A 21,508-nucleotide genomic window follows, 5' to 3' on the forward strand; every position below is an offset into this window, starting at 1 on the left:
ACCTGGGTGTGGTGACACATGCCTGTAGTCCTAGCTACTCGGGAGACTGAGGTGGGAGGATCGCTTGAGCCCAGGAGTTCAAGACGTCAGTGAGCTATGATCACACAGCTACATTCCAACCTGGGCAGCAGAGCAAGACCTTGACTCTAAAAATCTTAAGTAATTAATTTATATATATATATAATATTTGTATAAACTAGGCACTGTTTTAGGTGTTGGAGAAATAGCAGTAGGTAAAACAATCAAAAATATTCCTGAGGTGTGCAGGCAACAATGATTGGGGTTGGAGAGCGGGCATGGCATGGAATAAATACTAGCACCCACTTTACATGGGCGTCCTGAGGACTGAAGTGGGTCATTTTGCATAAAATGGGCGGCACAGGACCTGGCCCATAGTAAGAGATTGACACACAGTAGGTATATATACAGGCAGGCTCCATGGTGTATTTAATATTACATATTATCATTTAATAATGTTTAAAATTAAATATATAAAAATATTTTTAAAAATATATTAAAAATATATATAATAAATTTTAAAAAATTATTTTTATATTATATATTATTTTGTATACTAGATAATATATAATTGTATAATAGATAATATATAATATTCCATTATGTATTCTATTATATATTATACTAAAATATAATATACTATAGTATATAGATAGTATAATATATATTATATGATAATATATAATACTATACTATAAATACTACCATATGTATTATAGTATATATTACAGTATATTATATATTATCATTTTATAATATATATATTACGTAGTTATATATATATATATGTATATAAAAATATATATGGGCAGGCTCCATGGTGTATTCTGTGTAGCACACAGTATCCAACAGTCTTCATAAATAACCATCTCCCATTGCTAACAGCAGAAAGTAAAATACTCTAGAAAAAATGACTAGAAGCAAATATTATAGTTGCTAAAGTGTTTACTAGTTTCCAAGCATTAAATATGTATGCCATGACCACTTTTGAATGGGCTTATCATGTTTTTAACCTAGTGATAAGATCAAAAAGTATTTTCTTAGCTTATATTTATATTTTCTACTTAACAGACTTTATAAAATTGTTTCTATTAGATATGTGCTTATTTTGACTTTGGGCATTAATTTAACAACCTACAACTTTTAAAGCAGAAGGGACAATTTGGTTTCCATCTAGACTGACTATATCATCAACATGAAGTCAACTTTCTCACTTGCACTATAATATACCACATCATCCTTCCAAAAGAGCTCTGTACAGTCTTTCTTTTATTTGGGTTTGTTTGTTTGTTTTTGAAACAGGGTCTTACTCTATCACCCAGGCTGGAGTACAGTGGCAGAATCTCAGCTTACTGCAACCTCCACCTCCTGGGCTCAAGTGATCCTCCCACCTCAGCCTCCCAAGCAGCTGGGATCACAGGCATGCACCACCATGCCATACTAATTTTTTGTATTTTTGGTAGAGACGGTGTTTCACCATGTTGCTCAGGCTGGTCTCGAACTCCTGAGCTCAAGCAATCTACCCGCTGTGGCCTCCCCATGTTCTGGGATCACAGGCATGAGCCACCACATCCAGCCCTCTTCTCGCTCTGTTGCCAGGCTGGAGTGCAGTGGCGCGATCTTGGCTTGCTGCAACCTCCGCCTCCCAGGTTCAAGTGATTCCCCTGCCTCAGCCTCCCAGGTAGCTGGGACTACAGGCATGCGCCACACCAAGCCCAGCTAATTTTTTTTTTTTTTTGTATTTTAGTAGAGACGGGGTTTCACCATGTTGGCCAGGATGGTCTCAATCTCCTGACCTGATGATCCCCCGACCTCGGCCTCCCCAAGTCTGTAAGGCCTCCCTTTACACCTGTAAAGGATTACAGGTGTGAGCCACCGCGCCTGGCCATCTTTCTTTTAAATAGGGATTTGAGATTCCGTTTAAGTTTAGAGGAAATTTAGGGTTAAAACTATTTTAGGAACCAAATTAAGAATGTGGATGTTGGGATGATGCCACATTGGTTGTTGCAAACTGGGACAATGTTTTCAAGTAACACTTTAATAATCACTTTAAAGATCAGCAGACCCAACACTGGCAAGCTTGAAATCCAACTGTGCTAACACATGACTCCTGAAGGTGTACTGGCAATTTTTACAATGCCACTCAGCAAAATGTTATCAAGAGCTGGAAAGGGGCTTACATCTAGTAATTCCCTATGAATGAACTTGCCCTGAAGAAAGTCACAAAAAGCATGGAAGAATGAGATAGAGGGATGATCAACCAAGTTTAACTTACAATCGCACAGTACTGGAAGTAGCCATAAGATCATTATTTTCTAGGTGATATTTGACTTAGTTGATACATCCACTTGACAGACTCTTACACAGCCACTAGAAAGTGTTAAATGTTGATTAATATAAGTAGAATATGACACTGTATCTATAAAGACACACTATCATTACAATTATAAATATTATATGTGGAAAAAAGGCTGGAGGTAAATATATTAAAATGTCACAAATGGGTATTAGAGGAATTGAATTAGGCATGTCTTCCTCTTTGTAGCATGCAAACTTTGTTAATATTTATAGATAATATTTTTTAAAGGGAGGGTTTCTGTCCTAAAGAACCCTGGAAGGAAAACTGGCTGGCCCAGCCCTGGGGACAGAGCATTGAGTATGTCAGTGTTGAGACAGGGATGCTGGGGCTGCCCCTGCGCTCTCCCACGGCACACAGTTCATCAAGAAGTCATGGACCAAGCTGTTACCAAGAACTACATTTTCCTACACTGCTGCAAGAACACACCAGGTGACCTCCCCATCCACTCCCTAACACCTAAGTCAAAATCGCAACACAGCTAGATCCCAGCCTTCCAGACTTAAAGACATTATGAAGAAGAAACATTTACTTCTTTGAAAAAATGCACGGCCAGGCATGGTGGCTCATGTCTATAATCCCAGCACTTTGGGAGGCCAAGGCAGGCGGACCTGAGGTGAGTTTGAGACCAGCTTGGCCAGCATGGTGAAACCCTGTCTCTACTAAAAATATAAAAATTATCCGGGTGTAGCAGTGGGCACCTGTAATCCTAGCTACTTGGGAGGCTGAGGCAGGAGAATCACTTGAACCCAGGAGGCAGAGGTTGCAGTAAGCCAAGATCAGTGAGCCAACAATCCAGCCTGGGTGACAAGAATGAAACTCTGTCTCAAAAAAAAAAAAATTACCGTCTTCCATTGGCAGGTGGTTGTGAAGGGGGAAAAGCCAAAATGCCCAAACTGAAAGGTAAAGTAGAAATTCAGGCTAACGCTGACCTTGAGCCAGGCTTCCTGGCAAAGATCAAAGCCTGTTGCCTTCTAACATTCTGCTCCAGCACACATAACTTCATACTCCACCCCACAAGGTAGAGGCCAAAGAGAACAAATCATGGTGGAGTACTTTCCTAATGCTCCTGCAGGTCCCACGATGTCTGAGACACAGGCAGGTCACTGCCTCGTCCATCACTGCAGGGCCTGCCAGCGCAAATCATGCCAATAACCTGCCGTTCGTGGATGCTGCGGGGACCCACAATGCTGGCCATGTTTAGTCCTCACCTGCAGGCACACTGAATGCAATGAGGATGCCCTCCTCTTCTAAGACTTTATTTTACTGTCCTTCTTATGTTTTGACTTAGCATTTTTTCAAGTCCTATTTGGTCACAGAAGAAGATAAATACATAATTACAGATTAAGAGAAAAACTTGCCTGTCTCTTGAATGTATAACATTTTTCATTACTTGCTCATATTATATCTTTGAAGCTATACATACTACAAAAAAAAAGCCAAGCAAATAAATAAAAATACAGCTTCACAGAAATAAGACCTCGTGCCCAGTTCTGTAAGCACACTATTTGAATAAAGCAAGAGCAAGCCATCAGAAAAGTAAGGGCTGTGGCAGGAAGCTAGTAGAACATTAGGACAGAATGTTTTCACACTTCGCAAGTGAAAACTGAAGGCTCGTGCTTCCAGATGATCTCGTGAGTGTGTGAGGTGGGCTTGCCCCAGTCCATCCAGAGTCCCACGCACCTTAGTAATGTCATACCACTCAGCAACAAATTACCAATCAACACAACCACACAAGCCACGTCAAATTCATTTTACTCTGTGAAAGAAACCAAACTCAAAAGGCTGCATCATGTATGATTCCATTTTACATAACATTCTGGAGAAGGCAAAACTATAGGGACAAAGAACAGATCAGTGGTGGGCAAGGCCTGGGGAACGGTGGGAGGAAATTAGCTGCAAAGGGAAGGAGAGGCTCTATGCTCTGAACCCCAGCTGTGACGCTGATTTCATACGTGACTGTACGCATCTGTCAGACACATAGCACTGAACCCTGAAACGAGTGAATTTTCTTGTATGGAAATTATATCTTTGTAAACCTGATTTTACAGTTTTTAAAGAAAAAAACACGTATGGCCATGCGTGGTGGCTCACTCCTGTAATTCCAGCACTTTGGGAGGCCGAAGCGGGCAGATCACCTGAGGTCAGGAGTTCAAGACCAGCCTGGCCAACATGATGAAACCCCGTCTCTACTAAAAATACAAAACTTAGCCCGGCATGGTGGTGGGCGCCTATAATCCCAGCTACTTGGGAGGCTGAGGTAGGAGAATTGCTTTAACCCGGGAAGCAGAGGTTGCAGTGAATCAAGATCGCACCACTGCACTCCAGCCTGGGTGACAAAGGTGCGACTCCATCTCGAAAGGAAAAAGAAAAAACACATACAACAGAAAAAGTGTAACTCCAGTTTCCTCGCACATTCCCGAATATTCTCAGGGCTGGCCATCCCATGTGTCCAATGCTGCCTGAACCCCCCACCCCCACACCCATCTCTACCAAAAGAAGAAATATTCTGAGTCTCAGTGAACCAAGACTGAAAGTCCAACAATCCTTTAAGAAAACAAATAAATTTCCAAAAGAACGCTACTTCCTGTAATTACTGACAGTGTCTGAAGGTCCTTTTCAAAATGATTAGCATTCTCTCCATTTTAAAGATATAGTTGAGATGCAAATTCTGATCATCTACATAGACAATATCCATTTAACTTCTCGATTTCAGCTATTGCAGATTGTTCTGACTTTGTGTAAGGAAACCCCATTTAAACTTCGTAACTCTATAAATCATTCCCATGGCTCCCACCAGCTACTGTGATCTCCGGTTTTAAGTTCCAGAGATTAGATAAGGCCTCGACATAGTGGCTAATGAGCTTTAATGTGCTTTAAAAGTCAAGGCTTGAGACCAGCTTTTCAGAGTAAACTTATTTTTCCAGAACAGTAGGTTTTCTTGCCAGGCAAGATTTGATTTCAAAATTGCACTAAGTTCTAGAAATTCAGGTTTCTTTCTTGCGTGCTCCCGGATTTCAGCAGAGTATTAGGAAACGTCCTGACCCAGGCTCCCCGCCCTCTAGGGTTGGGTAGAAAACAATCCACTGGGGAAAACCACACTCCCATTACTGGGCTTCGCCCCCTGGGGCTGGGCAGATCCGACAGTGGGATTATTTTTAGTTGAAGCATTGTGGCAAGCAGTCTGTGTGTGTGTGTGTGTGCGCGCGTGTGTGTGCGCACGCACACACGCGTCTCCTCAAACTCTGCCTCCTGCTTGTGAACAATTCCCTAAATAGTAATAATTTTCTTTTTATAAGAAAACCACAGCAACATATTTTATAAGAAAACTGTAGCAACATAGATGGCATTGGAGATCATTATATTAAGCGAAGTAAGCCAGGCACAGAAAGGCGAAGATCCCATGTTCTCACTCATGTAGGGGAGCTAAAGCAGTGGGTCTCATGGAGGTAGAGAGTAGAATGGTGGACACCCGCAGCCGGCAGTTACCAGGAAGGGGAAGGAGCGATGAAGAGAAGCTGGTTAATGAGTACAAAATACAGTTCGCTAGAAGGAGCAAGGTCTAGCATTCAATAATACAGTAGGGAAATTAGAGTTAATAATGTTATATATTTCAAAATAGAAGATTTATAGTGTTCCCAACACAATAAAAGATAAACGTGTGAGGTTCTGGATATCCTAATACACCGGGATTTTACCATGACACACTGAACACACAAATCAATCACACATGAATCCCAAATATGTACAATTAAGATACAGCAAGTAATTTTTTATTTATTATTATTTTTTTAAGACGGAGTCTCACTCTGTCGCGCAGGCTGGAGGGCAGTGGTGCGATCTCGGCTCACTGCAAGCTCCGCCTCCTGGGTTCACGCCATCTGGACTGACCATATCATCAACATGAAGTCAGCTTTCTCACTTGGACTGTAACGTACCACATCATCATTCTAAAAGAGCTCTGTACAGTCTTTCTTTTATTTTGGTTTGTCTGTTTGTTTTTGAGACAGGGTCTCACTCTATCACCCAGGCTGGAGTACAGTGGCGGGATCTCAGCTTACTGCAACCTCCACCTCCTGGGCTCAAGTGATCCTCCCACCTCAGCCTCCCAAGCAGCTGGGACCACAGGCATGCACCACCATGCCATGCTAATTTTTTGTATTTTTGGTAGAGACGGGGTTTCACCATGTTGCTCAGGTTGGTCTCGAACTCCTGAGCTCAAGTAATCCACCCGCTGTGGCCTCCCCATGTTCTGGGATCGCAGGCATGAGCCACCACATCCAGCCCTCTTCTCGCTCTGTCGCCAGGCTGGAGTGCAGTGGCGCGATCTTGGCTCACTGCAACCTCCACCTCGCAGGTTCAAGTGATTCCCCTGCCTCAGCCTCCCGGGTAGCTGGGACTACAGGTGCCCACCACCACACCTGGCTAATTTTTTGTATTTTTAGTAGAGACAGCATTTCACCGTGTTAGCCAGGATGGTCTCCATCTCCTGACATCGTGATCTGCCCGCCTTGGCCTCCCAAAGTGCTGGGATTACAGGCGTGAGCCACCGCGCCTGGCCAAAATACAGCAATTAATTTTTTTTAAAAAAAGAAAACTGTCTCCAAGTAGCCTAGATTGATTTTTCTACACTGAGAACCTTCCCTTGTATAAATCAGAAAAAGGAGCTGTGAGAGCTGCTAAGAGGGTGCCACTGGCAAAAAGTCTGTGGACCCTGAGATGAGGCAGCACCACAGGGCGGGTGAGTGGTTGCCAGCAGATGAGTGGTTGCAGCCCGGCAGAGGCTGCGGACTTTGGGAACCTCAGCTTTAATGGAATTCTTAGACGGAAGCTTCTTTCAGGTTTGCCATCAAATGGTGACTATCACAATTTTTTAAGTCTAAAAATTATATGTCTCACTTGAGGTCAGGAGTTCGAGACCAGCCTGGCCAACATAGTGAAACCCTGTTTCTACTAAAAATACAAAAATCAGCTGGGTGTAGTGGCAGATGCATGTAATCCCAGCTAATTGGGAGGCTGAGGCACGATAATCGCTTGAACCCAGGAGGCAGAGGTTGCAGTGAGCCAAGATTGTGCCACTTCTCTCTGATACAGCCCCGAGCACATCGTACAGCAGGAAATGTTCTAAGTTTTAAATAAAAACCATGATGCAAAATTCTATTTACAGTATAATCTCAAATGTATTAGAAAGAGAGAAAATAAACAGGAGAAGTGGAAACATATAAATACACAAAAATCTTCAGTATTTTTGGAATAATGAACCTAAACAGGATTGTCCTAAACTTTCTTTACAACACAGAGATGTTTAATTAGGTAAGATACATGTTTAACATTACATTGTGTTAGAAACACTAATGTACTTTAACAAACATGTGGGGCAGCATTAGGTAGGTTTCACTCTGGGGGTTTCATTTACTTGTTTGTTTGGTAAACCTGAGACACTAATATGCACTAGGTTTTGTTGTTGTTGTTGTTGTTGTTGAGACAAGGTCTCACTCTGTCGCCCAGGCTGGAGTGCAGTGGCTCCATCTCGGCTCACTGCAACCTTTACCTCCTGGGTTCAAGTGATTCTCATGCCTCAGCCTCTCAAGTAGCTGGAATTACAGGCATACACCACCACGCCTGGCTAATGTTTTGTATTTTTAGTAGAGATGGGGTTTCACCATGTTGCCCAAGCTGGTCTTGAACTACTGAGCTCAGGCAGTCTGCCCACATTGGCCTCCCAAAGTGCTGGGATTACAGGTGTGGACCACCACGCCCAGCCTATGCACTAGTTTTAAAATTCAGAGGATTAAATTTGCTTTACATCATATAAAGAAATGTGTAGGCTGGGCGCAATGGTTCATGCCTGTAATCCCAGGACTTTGGGAGGTGGAGGCAGGTGGATCACTTGAGGTCAGGAGTTAGAGAGCAGCCGGGCCAACATGGTGAAACCCCATCTCTATTAAAAAATGTACACAAAAAATTAGCCATGTGTGGTGGCACATGCCTGTAATCCCAGCTACTCAGGAGGCTGAGGCATGAGAATCCCTTGAGCCCAGGAGGTGGAGGTTGCAGGGAGCTGAGATCACGCCACTGCACTCCAGCCTGGACAACAGAGCCAGACTCCATCTCAAAGAAAAAAGAAAGATAGAAAAGAAAAGAAAAGAAAAGAAATGTGTAAACATGCCCAAGAAAATCAGTTAACTGGCAAAAATGAACTGCTGATTCTTTTTTCTTACTCATCTTTCCTTCTGATTCATTTCATTCTCCTACTAAATACCTTCCTTGCAGGATTCTAATCAGGACTTAGATTGAAATCCAAACCCTTTAGTTCTTTATTTTTTTTATAATTATTTTTTCTTCAGGTCTCATAATATTTTGTTTGTTTGTTTGTTTTTTGAGATGGAGTCTTACTCCAGTTGCCCAGGCTGGAGTGCAGTGGCCTGATCTCGGCCCACTGCAACCTCCACCTCCCAGACTCAGGAAATCCTCCCACCTCAGCCTCCCAAGTAGTTGGGACCACAGGCACATGCCACCACACCCGGCTAAGTTTTTGTATTTTCAGTAGAGATGAGGTCTCACCATATTGGCCAGGCTGGTCTTGAACTCCTGAGCTCGAGCAATCCGCCACCCTCAGCCTCCCAAGAGTGCTGGGATTACAGGCGTGAGCCACCACACCCAGCCTTCATCTTTATTTCTTTAAAGAAACACATAAATGGTGCTTCTCTTCGTGTACTCCTCTAAGCACTGTGTATTACTCAATTCACCTAAGTAATTCTTCAGGTTGGCATTCGTAGCATGGCGACTTGGTTTCCACCTTGGACCAGCCTTTCCTACCTTTCCAATGGGTCTGTAACGTGGCCTTAGAAACATCCTCAAAGGGACTTCTCATCTCATTCATCTCTTCCTCCCACACAATCCTCCCACCCCCACCCCAAAATCCACTTGTCAAAAGTCAAGACAAGCTCTAATCCTACCTGCATTAAACCTTCCCGAAGCCTCCCGGTCAGAACTATTCCTACCCACTCCTTTCTCTGGTACTGGAGGTACAACAATTTCTGAAGAATATAAACTCTCATAGGAATTAAACCTACTAGTTTACATCATCTTTCTCTAGTTTCCTCTCCTCATCCGGCTTGGCTCTGTGTTCTACATAATAGATATGGCTCAACATGTCATGCCTTGTAAATACACTCATTTAATCTATAAAATAAAGATAGACTGTAGTTAAAGAGCAGTTTTCACTAGTGCCAACCATGTACAGAACGCCATATACTGCCCCATGTCATTCTTTATTACCAAAATTGTTATAAATGGCCACATTATAAAATAATTACCATTTCCTGAGCATTTTCTGTGTGCCAAGTACTATGTAAGTGCTTTACATGCCTTCTAAATTCACATATTCCCCCCAAATTACTCTTTAACAGAAAAACTTGCCTTATTACCCAAGTCTATTATAATGTTCTCATATTATGGAGGGTTCACCACTTTATAAAAAACAATATACTCTTTGAGGGAGACACATTAACCAGAACTAATTCAGTTAGGGTAGTTTTGGATGTTTATAGAAATCATATGATAAACTATCAAAAAAATGGGATGGGGAGACAAAGAAATTTAACATGGATAGATGAATTATTCCTAGGGGATGACTTTACAATTGTTACTGCTAGGAAATTTATAAAGTAGCTATAGAAAGATTCTTTAAAAGAAAAAAAAAAGCACAGCAAGTTGCCATGCTATGGAATCACAAGTGTATTATTACAAAAGGAAAAAACATCTAAATGTTTGAGAATTAGTCTTTGAGGCTGGGGATAAAATTTGCAGTGCCAGCATTGTAGATGGGTTCAAAAAGCTCTGCATAGCAAACATCTCCAAGAGGCAAAGGTAACATGGTCTGGGAACTCTGTTCAGAGAGACTCAAAAAGTGATTGTAATGAAGACAAACATGCTGAAGTTGGAGATATCAGCCCAGAGTTTGAACAAAAGCATTCTGTGAAATGTGAAAGTAGAAATATTATAATAATAGATCACTTATTAATATTTCAATCACATTATATAACTAAATACTTTCCTTAAAAACTAAACTCACGGCTGGGAACAGTGGTTTATGCCTATAATCCAAGCTACTTGGGAGGCTGAGGCTCAAGAATCGCTTGAACCCAGGAGGCGGAGGTTGCAATGAGCCAAGATCACACTACTGAACTCCAGCCTGGGTGACAGAGCGAGACTCTATCTCAAAAAAAAACAAAAAACAAAAAGCAAAAAAAACTTAACTCATGCAGTTTACCGTGGCTCACGCCTGTAATCCCAGCACTTCGAGAGGCCAAGGCCAGCGGATCACTTGAGGTCAGGAGTTTGAGACCAGCCTGGCTAACATGGTGAAACCCTGTCTCTACTAAAACTGCAAAAATTAGCTGGGTGTGGTGGTGCACACTTGTAATCCCAGCCACTCCACAGGCTGAGACAGGAGAATCGCTTGAATCCAGGAAGTGGAGGCTGCAATGAGCCGAGATCACACCACTGCACTCCAGCCTGGGCCAACAGAGTGACTCTGTCTCAAAAAAATAAAAAATAAAACTAAATTCATGTGAAAGAAGCTTCTCTGCCAAGACCAGGCCTGGAGAGCATCTGTGCTCTTCAGAAGCAACTCTGCCAAGACCAGGCCTGGAGAACATCTGTGCTCTTCAGAAGCAACTCCTCTTATAGCACCTGCAACTACGGGTAGAAACAGGTGGCACTGGGAACTCATTAGGAGCCCTCAGGTCTCTTTAAAGTCCCTTCAACTTCATACAAACTTCACCATATCAAGAGATAGAGGATAATATATTAGAAAGAGATAAGAAGTTGAAAAACAGTCCTCTCCTTGTGTTCTGTTGTGACACACATTTGTTTAATGAATTTTTAGCAAATTGAGAATTTAACAATTTTAAGAAATTTTAGAGTCATAGAGACCTAAAATCTCCATCTTCTGTATTTGACCCGAATCTTAGAGCAGGAAATGACCAGAGAACACACACAGCCTTTTCGGTTTGCTTCCAAATTCTCAGCTAGAATATCAACAGAGTAACGACGTGAAATGTGCAAATCTCAGAACACAAAATATCAAGGAAAGATACTGGGAATAATGACTCTTTTAGCTTTAGGTAAATTTGCATAAACCTTATAGCAGTAAGTGCAGCCTTTGAAAAGACAAGGGTATGCCTCAGGATTCTTCAACAGGGCAGGGCCTGTGCGTGGGCACAGGAGCTCCAGGAGCGGGATGCCTGGAAAGAGGGCCAAGCCACAGGGGCTGCTCCCAGCTCCACCTGCAGGGACCACTCACCTCTCCAGGCTCATCCCGCTGTGCAAACAACCCTCATGAGGATTTCTCTTTTTTAAAGTAAAGTTGTTGGAAAGGCTACATGCAAGTGAAAGGTTTTCTTTTTGATGATGTAAGCTTTTGCTCAATTACATATGAGAACAATAATATAATCTGTCATTTGATAAGATGATAAAACAAAATAAAATAGTATTAGCAGTCCAGAAAACCTATTTTTGCTAAAACTGTTAATGCCTCTAAAATACAACATTGTCACCAGAATCCCTAGTGGCCTCACGGATAAGGCATTGGTCTCTTGAAACAGAACATTGTCACGCTAGTTTGATGAGAACCCAGGATAGAGGGTGTTTTGGGGATCACATTTCCTATCACATAAAACAAAATCCTGCCCTTGAAGATGCAAAATGCCCACACCTGCCACTGCTCTGTATCCTGCCCTGTTCCTCCGGAGAGGCTGGGAGACAATGTCTCAGGCCCCACAGATGCGGCGCCAGTGTCCTTCACTCACCTGAATGTGCATGGCACCCTCTACTGCTTCTTGGATATTGGGACAACCACTGATGAGTGACAGCTGCTCTTCCACACTCAGGGAGCCTTTCAGAGAACCTGCCTGCTCCAGCAACTTCATCTCCTTTCTGGAAAGGCAGAGAGAAGGATCACTGTGAGTATTCAACACCACATTTAAAAACAGATAAAGCCCAACATCAGGAATCATCAGGGAAATGCCAAGCAGAACCACAGTGAGATACCACCTCACACCCATTAGGGGCTACCAAAAATAGAAACTAGCAATTGTTGGCAAGGATGTGGAGAAACTGGAACCATTGTGCACTGCTGGTGAGACTGTAAAATGGTGCAACCGCTATGGAAAACAGATATGGCAGTTCCCAAAAACAGAATTACAGTATGATCCAGCAATTCAACTTCTGGGTATAAACCCAAAATAATGGAAAGCAGGGTCTCCAAGAGATTTTTGTACACCCATGTGCACAGCAGCATTATTCACAATAGCCAGGAGCTAGAAGCAACCTAAGCATCCATCAATAGATGAGTAGATAAAAAAACATGGTACATACACACAACAGAATATTATTCAGCAGTAAACAGGAAGAAAATTCTGTCACACGCTACAAAATGGATGAACCTTGAGGACATTCTGCTGAGTGAAATAAGCCAGTCACAAAAGGAAAAATACTGTGTGATTCCACCTAGAAGAGGTATCTAAAGCAGTCAAAATAATAGAGGCAGGCCAGGCTAGGTGGCTCACTCCTGTAATTCCAGCACTTTGGGAGGCCGAGGTGGGTGGATCACTTGAGGTCAGCAGTTCGAGACCAGCCTGGCCAGCATGGTGAAACCTCATCTCTACTAAAAATACGAAAAATTAGCTTGGCATTGTGCCGCGTGCCTGTAATCTCAGCTACTCAGGAGGCTGAGGCAGGAGAATCGCTTGAACCCAGGAGGCAGATGTTGCAGTGAGCTATGGTAGCACCACTGCACTCCAGCCTGAGCGACAGAGTGAGACTCTGTCTTGAAAAAATAATAACAGAGACAGAACTAGAATGTTGGTAGCTGCCAGGGGCTGGAGGTTGAGGAATGGGGAGTTAAGGTTTAATGGGTCCAGAGTTTCAATTTGAGAAGATGAAAACATGCTGGAGATGAATGATGGCGATGGTAGCACAACAATGTAAATATACTTAATATACTTAAAATATTAAGGGAAATTTTATTACATACACTTTACCACAACTTAAAATCTTAATTACTTTTTTTAAAATGAAACAATCTCATGGCAGGGGATGGGGTGGGGGGGCATGTTGGAAAACAGTGGTTCTTAATCCTCTTCCTTGGGTCAGTCCCCTGGGATGGAAGGATTGAAAGAAGGTACCTTATAGCAGAGTAGGCTTCGGGGCATGTGGTCTGTGCGGTCACCCGGGCCACCATGCTCAGAAGGGCCTGTGCTGGGTTTACTGCTCTGCTGTTAGCTTCTTAAAATTCTTAATATATTTTTGCTTTTTGGGTTTTGTTTTGTTTTGATTTGATTTTTTGCTTTGTTTTGTTTTTTGAGACAGGATCCTGCTCTGTCGCCCAGGCTGGAGTGCAGTGGCACAATCATGACTCGCCATAGCCTCGACCTCCCAGGATCAAGTGATCTCCCACCTCAGCCTCCCAAGTAGCAGGGACTACACATGCGTGCCACCACGCCTGACCAATTTTTTGTATTTTTTGGTAGAGACGGGGTTTCGCCATGTTGCCCAGGTTGATCTCTAACTCCTGGGCTCAACTGATCCTCCTGCCTTGGCCTCCCAAAGTGCTGGGATTATAAGCGTGAGCCACAGCACCTGGCCCTAAATTTTTTTAAAAGGAAGGAAAGAATCTTTGAGATGTTTTTCTCATATAAGTAATTTGGAAGATTCGTAATATATCAGCTTAAAAAAATCTACTTATCTTAAAATAGGGCCATAAAACAGCTATCTTATTTTGGACAATTATAAGGACAAACATACTGATCCCTGCTCAGATCTCATCACCCACAAAACAACTCAGTGTTAAGTACTAAATATCCTGGACCACCATCCCCAGTGAGCAGGCATTTTCAAATTTTCATATAGAACAAATTCCTTGAATTAGAGGCTTATAAAGTTAGTGAGGCCAGCCACAGTGTCTCACGCCTGTAATTCCAGCACTTTGCGAGGCCAAGGCAGGCGGGTCACTTGAGGACGGGAGTTTGAGACCAGCCTGGGCAACATGGTGAAACCTCGTCTCTACAAAAAATACAAAAACTAGCTGGGCGTGATGGTGCACACCTGTAGTCCCAGCTACTTGGGAGGCTGAGGTGGGAGAATCACTTGAGCCCAGGAGGTGGAGGCTGCAGTAAGCCATGATTGTGCCACTGTACTCCAACCTGGATGACAGAGCGAGACCCTGTCTCAAAAAACAAGCAAGCAAAAAACAAAAGTAAGTTAGTGAAAAATATACAAAACCAAATATGTGTCTTGGCCAGTTCATCTGGAAGTTTACTAGTTGCATAGGGTACTATGAGGTGTCTTAGCAACAGATTAGAAATTTAAGATTTCTAATAGCTAAATCAAAAAAGAACTGGTCCAAGGTAAGTGCCAGTAAATAGATATTTGAAACATCATGGAGGGAAATATAACAAAAAGGGTCATGAGAAAAGGTTCCTCTATTAAGGTAAAAAGGAAACGCAGACATTCACGGGTCCTACAGGGTCCTGCGATTCAGCATCAACAGCACTCAGCACACTTCCCTGAACACAGACTGTGCCTCTTAAGTGGCTTTATTCAGGAAAAGAGAGCACCATGTGATCCAAAGCTCATTTATCATTCACTGTGTAGTATGTTTTGATCCATCTTTGAAAATGTTGTTACACAACTCTGTAAACATACTATAAAACCACTGAATTGGACGTGTCAAATGAGTCAATTGTATGACATGTAAATTTATCTCAATAAAGCAGTAGCATTAATATCTTATTGCTACTGTAACAAATTATCACAAACAGTGGCTTAAACAATACAAATGTATTATCTTACAGTTCTAGAGGTCAGAAACCCCAAGTAGACTAACATCAAAGCGTCAGCAGGGAACGCACTCTTTCTGGAGGTTTCAGGGAGAATGCATTCCTGGCCTGTCTCAGCTTCTAGAGGCTGCCTGCATCCGTGGCTCATGACCCCTTCCCCCTCCATAGCCAGCCAACCCTGCCCCACCTGTTTCTGCCATCATGTCTCCTTCCTCCTTTATCCCTCTAAGGACCCATGTGATTACACCAGGCCAAGCCAGCTATTCCAGGATAATCTCCCCATCTTGCCATTCTTAATTCAATTACATCTGCAACGTCCCATTTGCCATGTAAAGTTCTGGCTCATCCAAAGCTATGCCAAAAATCTGGACATCTAACTGTGGTTGCAGGTATATTGTTCTGAGGATGATATGCAATTTGCTCCTGCCAGGCACTTGGGGGTGCTACCAACCAAGGAACCAATCTGAATTCTTGGCTTGGGGGTTTTCCAGATGACACAGGTAGTATGAATTTGAGGATTGCTCTATGGTTATAAATTCTCAGAGAAACTCTTCCTCCCCTCCACTCAGAGTCAATGCCCCCACCGGTGACCCTCCATTTAGGGGATCCAAGTTCTCTTTTTCGCCAATGATGTAGCTGTTAGAGAACTCTAGCTTCTGTCAGAGATCTCCAATTAGATTCCCATCTTGCACAGACTCGGGTTGGCTGTTACAATCGAAGCTCTAGATTAGCAAGACTGAGCAGCCGCCAGCTGTGGCTGTCAAGCACCCCTTGGAACTGGTGCTCCGAGGCAGGCCTCTGAAATTCTCCATTACCTTCTTGCCATGTGAGCTTACTACCATGACTTCCACGGACTGGACCCCACATGTGAATCTGGGCCAATGGCAGAGGCCCATAGGCAGCCGGTGGTGGCTGCAGTAACCAGCCCAAGGGAAGCCTGAGCCCTATAGCGACAGGGCGGTCAGAAATGCAGACCCAGGCCAGGCGCGGTGGCTCACACCTGTAATCCCAGCACTTTGGGAGGCCGAGGTGGGCAGATTACCTGAGCTCAGGAGTTTGAGACCAGCCTGGCAAACATGGTGAAACCCCGATTCTACTAAAAATACAAAAATTAGCCAGGTGAGGCTGCACATCCCTGTAATCCCAGCTACTTAGGAGGCTAAGGCAGGACAATCACTTGAACCTGGGAGGTGGATATTTCAGTGAGCCGAGATCACGCCACTGCACTCCAGCCTGGGCGACAGAGCTAAACTCCATCAGAAGAAGAAGAAGAAGAAAGAAGGAGAAGGAGAAGGAGAAGAAATGCAGACTTCCACAGTGGGCAGACTGGTTGAGGGCAGGAAGGAGCAACAGAAACACAGCCCGTAGTGGAGTCACCATGACCACAGGCCATAAAAAGTCAGGACTTTAGAAAAGGACACAGCCACCCTATAACTGCTGTGAGCTGCCAGAGCCACTGGCTGACTATCAGAGGCTCAGGTGTCCCCTGAACAATGTCTGTTTCTGCGACAAAGATGCAGCCGCAGAGATGGTGTCCTGTATCTCTTACTCCCTCGCCTGGTATCACAATCAACCCTCATCAAGAGCAGAAATCAGAGTACCCTGTCCTTTATAGCCTGAAAGGGCCTAGCGCAGACTTTGTTTGGAGATTACAACACATTTGAATTTTTCAGTTTTTAACTATACGATTTATATAAGTTTGACCTGCAGCAGTGGCTAAGCCTTGGAGTCAACATTGGTAAAAGACAACCACACTGCCCATAAACACAACCAGAAGAAAAACATTCATATGGCAGAAGAGCTATTTGTAGCTACCAAGCAAAAACTCACTTCAGCTTAATTGAAAGTTTTTTGTGTTACGGAGGAATAAGTGAGATGTTTAATACTGCGCCCATTGCTTTTCTAAGACTATTTCCTTTTCATAATTTATTTAAGAAATTTTAAATGTAGAAAGAATAATAAACATCCTCATCTCTCCACCCTCCAGAACTAACCACCGCCAATCCTCTTTGTCACTTTTTAAGTAAACAAAACCTAAATGAATCTCTTAGCGCCATCATCCCAGCCTCACCCAACCATCTTTCCACTGAACACACACAGGGTCTCTGGATGCCAAGGTCTGGGAACATAGTGAGTAACCATTGCATCCTTTAGGAAACTATGTCTGAGCGCCTGATGTGCTCAAAGCACCTGCTCCAAGCCTTAGTAGGCCAGCTGTGCGTCTTCAAACCTTTCCACTAATCCAAAGCAAACTTTTAGCCTTTTTTCCCAAAAGTACTGCATGAGATTAGACAGATAATGGGAGAACAGGAGTCTCTTGTTCCTCGATCCTCCAGGGACCACCCCGGAATGAGAATGTCCCATGGAGACAGCAAGCAGTGGCAAGAAAAGACACAACCACTCGCCTCTTTCAGAGCAGACTCAGGCTGAGGAATGTGCAGTGGTGGTTCTGCCTCAGGCCCTTCCTCCCTGGGCAGCACACACAGGTAGGACAGAGAACCTGGGCATGAGGGAGAGACACGGTCACACATGAACCCATCAGCCAACTGCAAACTCCAGGACCCTGCTGTGTGGTCCCGAGGGACGTCCAGTGAAAGCTGCGGAGGAGCTTCCGACATCTGCAGACAGACCCCTGTGTTCTCTTTAGGGCCAACAAATCCACATGCCACAAATCAAACCCAGCCTTTTGGCAACATTTTGTCCCAGTTAGATTAATTCCAATTTTTTTTATTCTTTTGGAAGAACTTCTGCATCAAGCTTTGTAGAAGACGTACATAAACACCTAGAAAAGATGTGCCAATCAACCGGGATTTTCAAATGCCACACACATACCAGGCTGTGGCATTGCCACACTTAACAGTTAACGTCAGGTTAGAGGCACTAGTAGAAGGCTGCAATGTGCCAGTTCTACCTCTAGAGGTCAGCCTAACACTAGGACTCAAAATACTGGCTCCTAACCAGTAAAGTTAAATTTTTACTTAAAATTAGAGAAAAGGAAATGTTAACAATTCTCACGGTAGGACAGGGTATGGGTGATTTTAATTTTTTTTAATGTTTCTATCTTTGAAATGTACTCAAAAGGAGCATGTATTTATTTTTAAAAAAGACTGAAGAAATTGGAACCTTGTGCACTGATGATGGGAATGTGGAAACGGCACAGCTGCTGTGGAAAACGTATGGTGGTAACTCAAAAAGTTAAAAATAGAGCCACCATATGATCCAGGAACCCCACTGCTGTGCATATATCCAAAAGAACTGAAGCGGGATCGCAAAGAGAGATTTGCACAGTCATGTTCCTAGCAGTGTTGTCAACAACAGAAGAAGCAAGCAATCCAAAAGTCCACCAACAGATGGAGGGATAAACAAAACATGGTTTCACACCTACGGTGGAATCTTATTCGGCCCCACAGGGGAAGGAAGTCCTGTCATATGTCATATGCCAGGCTGGAGTGCAGTGGCGCAGTCTCAGCTCACTACAACCTCCCCCTCCCGGCTTCAGGCGATTCTCCTGCCTCAGCTTCCCAAATAGCTGGGACTACAGGAATGCACCACCACACCCAACTGATTTTTGTATTTTTTAGTGGAGACGGGTTTTCACTCTATGTTGGCCAGGCTGGTCTTGAACTCCTAACCTCAGGTGATCCACCTGCCTTGGCCTCCCAAAGTGCTGGGATTACAGGTGTGACCCACCTCGCCCGGCCTAGGATGAACTTTTTACTTAACATTATGCTTAAGTGAAATAAGCCAGACACAAAAGGACAGATGCCATATGACTCCACCTACAACAGGTACCCAGAGCAGTCAAACTCACAGTGACAGAAAGTAGAATGGTGGATGCCAGGGGCTGGCAGAGGCACAAAAGAAGAGTTGTTTAATGGGCACAGAGTTCAGTTTTACAAGATGAAAAAGCTCTGCAGATTGCACAACCATGTGAACGTACTTAATGCTACTCAACTATTATACACGTTAAAATGGCAAAGATGGCCAAACTTCATGAGAACTAGAATTTAGAAATAAGTCGATTTAGGGTATAACAAGCTCATAGATTTTACAGAATGACTTAGAAAATCGTTTTGGCTAGTATATTCCCGTTAATTCATGCAATAATCTAGGTCCTGGACTTTGAATTACACACAGTAACATAAAGCACATCTATTTATCTCTGCTCCCTCCAGAAACCTTAGTAAAACCAGGCTAATAATGGATCTTTTTTTAAAAGCATAGACCTGTGCCTGGTGTGGTGGCTTACACCCATAATCCCAACACTTTGGGAGGCCGAGGCAGGCAGATCAGATCTCTTGTGCTCAGGAGTTTGAGACCAGCCTGGGCAACATGGCAAAAAGGCTGAGGTAGGAGGATCACTTGAGCCCCCGAGGTGGAGGCTGCAGTGAGCAGAGATCATGCCACTGCACTCCAGCCCGGGCACCAGAGCAAGACCCCGTCTCAAAAAAAAAAAAAAAAAGTGTAGGCCCACAAGGTCAGAGATTATTGGGAGACAAAATGGACAAAATATGCTAATTTTTTGGAAAATTGGAAATCATGCAAAAGTAGTCAGGTAAATGATTGAATGAGGTGGAGAAAGCTAAAACTTAGGCATGGGGTTAAGGAAAATGCCAACGAAAAGCAAGTCGCAATAGCTCCTGAGAGACGTGGAAAAGGTCAGAATCTGCAGGTACCAAAGAGGACACAGTGTGAATGAGGAGTGGGAGGTGACAAGAGTTTACTGAAAGCGGTGCCACTACTAAAGAAATCCAACCACAATAGGCCAGACACAAGAGGCCGTTGGGGGGTGCTACAGATACCAGGGGCTTCAGATAGAGGACACCCTGAGAGGCGAGAGCCATGCGTGCCCACACACCACATACACACAACTACACACACACCACCATACACACAACTACACACACCGCATATACACACTACACACACACCACCACACACACTACACACACACCACCATACACACAACTACACACACCGCATATACACACTACACACACACCACCACACACACAACTACACACACACCACCATACACACAACTACACACACCACATATACACACTACACACACACCACCACACACACAACTACACACAGCACACACCACATATACGCACTAGACACCACACACCACACACACACAACTACACACACCACATATAGGCACTACACACACCATATATATGCACCACACACACCACACACAACTACATACATACCACATACACACAACTACACCACCACATACACACACTACACACCACACTCCACATACACACAACTACACACACCACATATATGCCCTACACACACCACACAAACACACACCACATACATACAACTACACACACATCTCATATACACACTACACACACCACCATACACACAACTACACACACCACATATACATACTACACACACACCACCATACATACACCACATACACACAACTACACACACCATATATACACAGTACAATATAAGGATTTATACTCATATTGAATTTCCAAAACTAATGTTTTCATTTACCATTTTTTAATGATGGATTGAAAACTAGTTGTCTTACTTTGATAACTTTGGCATTGAACTTATCACATTTTTGATGCTTTTGGTCACAGTTCTGTCTCTAGAGCTACACACACAACTACACACACACCCTATACACACTACACACACACCACACATACACACAACACCATACACACTACACACACCCCATATACACAGTACATACACACCACACATACACCACCATACACACTACATACACCGCATATACACACTATACACACGCCACCATACACACTACACATACCCCATATACACACTACATACATGCCACCCTACACACTACACACACCCCATATACACACTACACACACACCACCATACACACTACACACACTCCATATACACACTACACACACATGCACATACCTCATACACACACTATACACACCACTTACACACACTACGCACACCACATACATACTATGCACACCAATACACACTACACACACCATATACACACTACACACACACTGCCTAATGGAAAGCCAGTGTCTAGGCCCGTGTGTCGGAATAACAGGGTTTTCTTGGAGCATTGATCTGCTCTTTAATATAAAATTATAAAAGGTTATAAAGTTTATGGAAATCTCACCTTATGGTCAAACTGATTAGATTTATTTATAATGTTTTATTAAAATTAGCATTAACATTAATAATATACCATACAAAGGTAAAATTTGGTTTTCTCTTTTGAACAAAATTTTCATGTAAGAGATAA

At 43.2% G+C, this 21,508-nt stretch overlaps 1 protein-coding gene across 3 annotated transcripts in view, besides 1 other annotated feature; it reads right to left on the reverse strand.

Annotated features, from left to right (window-relative positions):
• CRYL1 (crystallin lambda 1) overlaps positions 1-21,508 on the reverse strand; it is a 122,189-nt gene that overhangs the window by 73,512 nt on the left and 27,169 nt on the right. For all 3 annotated transcript variants that reach the window (NM_001363647.2, NM_015974.3, XM_005266416.6), the window contains exon 3: positions 12,190-12,316. In NM_001363647.2, the coding sequence (NP_001350576.1) occupies positions 12,190-12,316 (127 nt within the window). The remainder of the gene's footprint in view (positions 1-12,189; positions 12,317-21,508) is intronic.
• Positions 16,162-16,661: an enhancer, noted in NCBI's record as "H3K4me1 hESC enhancer chr13:21067481-21067980 (GRCh37/hg19 assembly coordinates)". NCBI's record gives its function as "activates a minimal SCP1, AML or CMV promoter by ChIP-STARR-seq in primed H9 embryonic stem cells {active_cell/tissue: H9 hESC(primed)}" and the evidence as "EXISTENCE:reporter gene assay evidence [ECO:0000049][PMID:30033119]".

Source organism: Homo sapiens, chromosome 13 (assembly GCF_000001405.40).
Source record: "Homo sapiens chromosome 13, GRCh38.p14 Primary Assembly".
Classification (NCBI taxonomy): domain Eukaryota; kingdom Metazoa; phylum Chordata; class Mammalia; order Primates; family Hominidae; genus Homo; species Homo sapiens.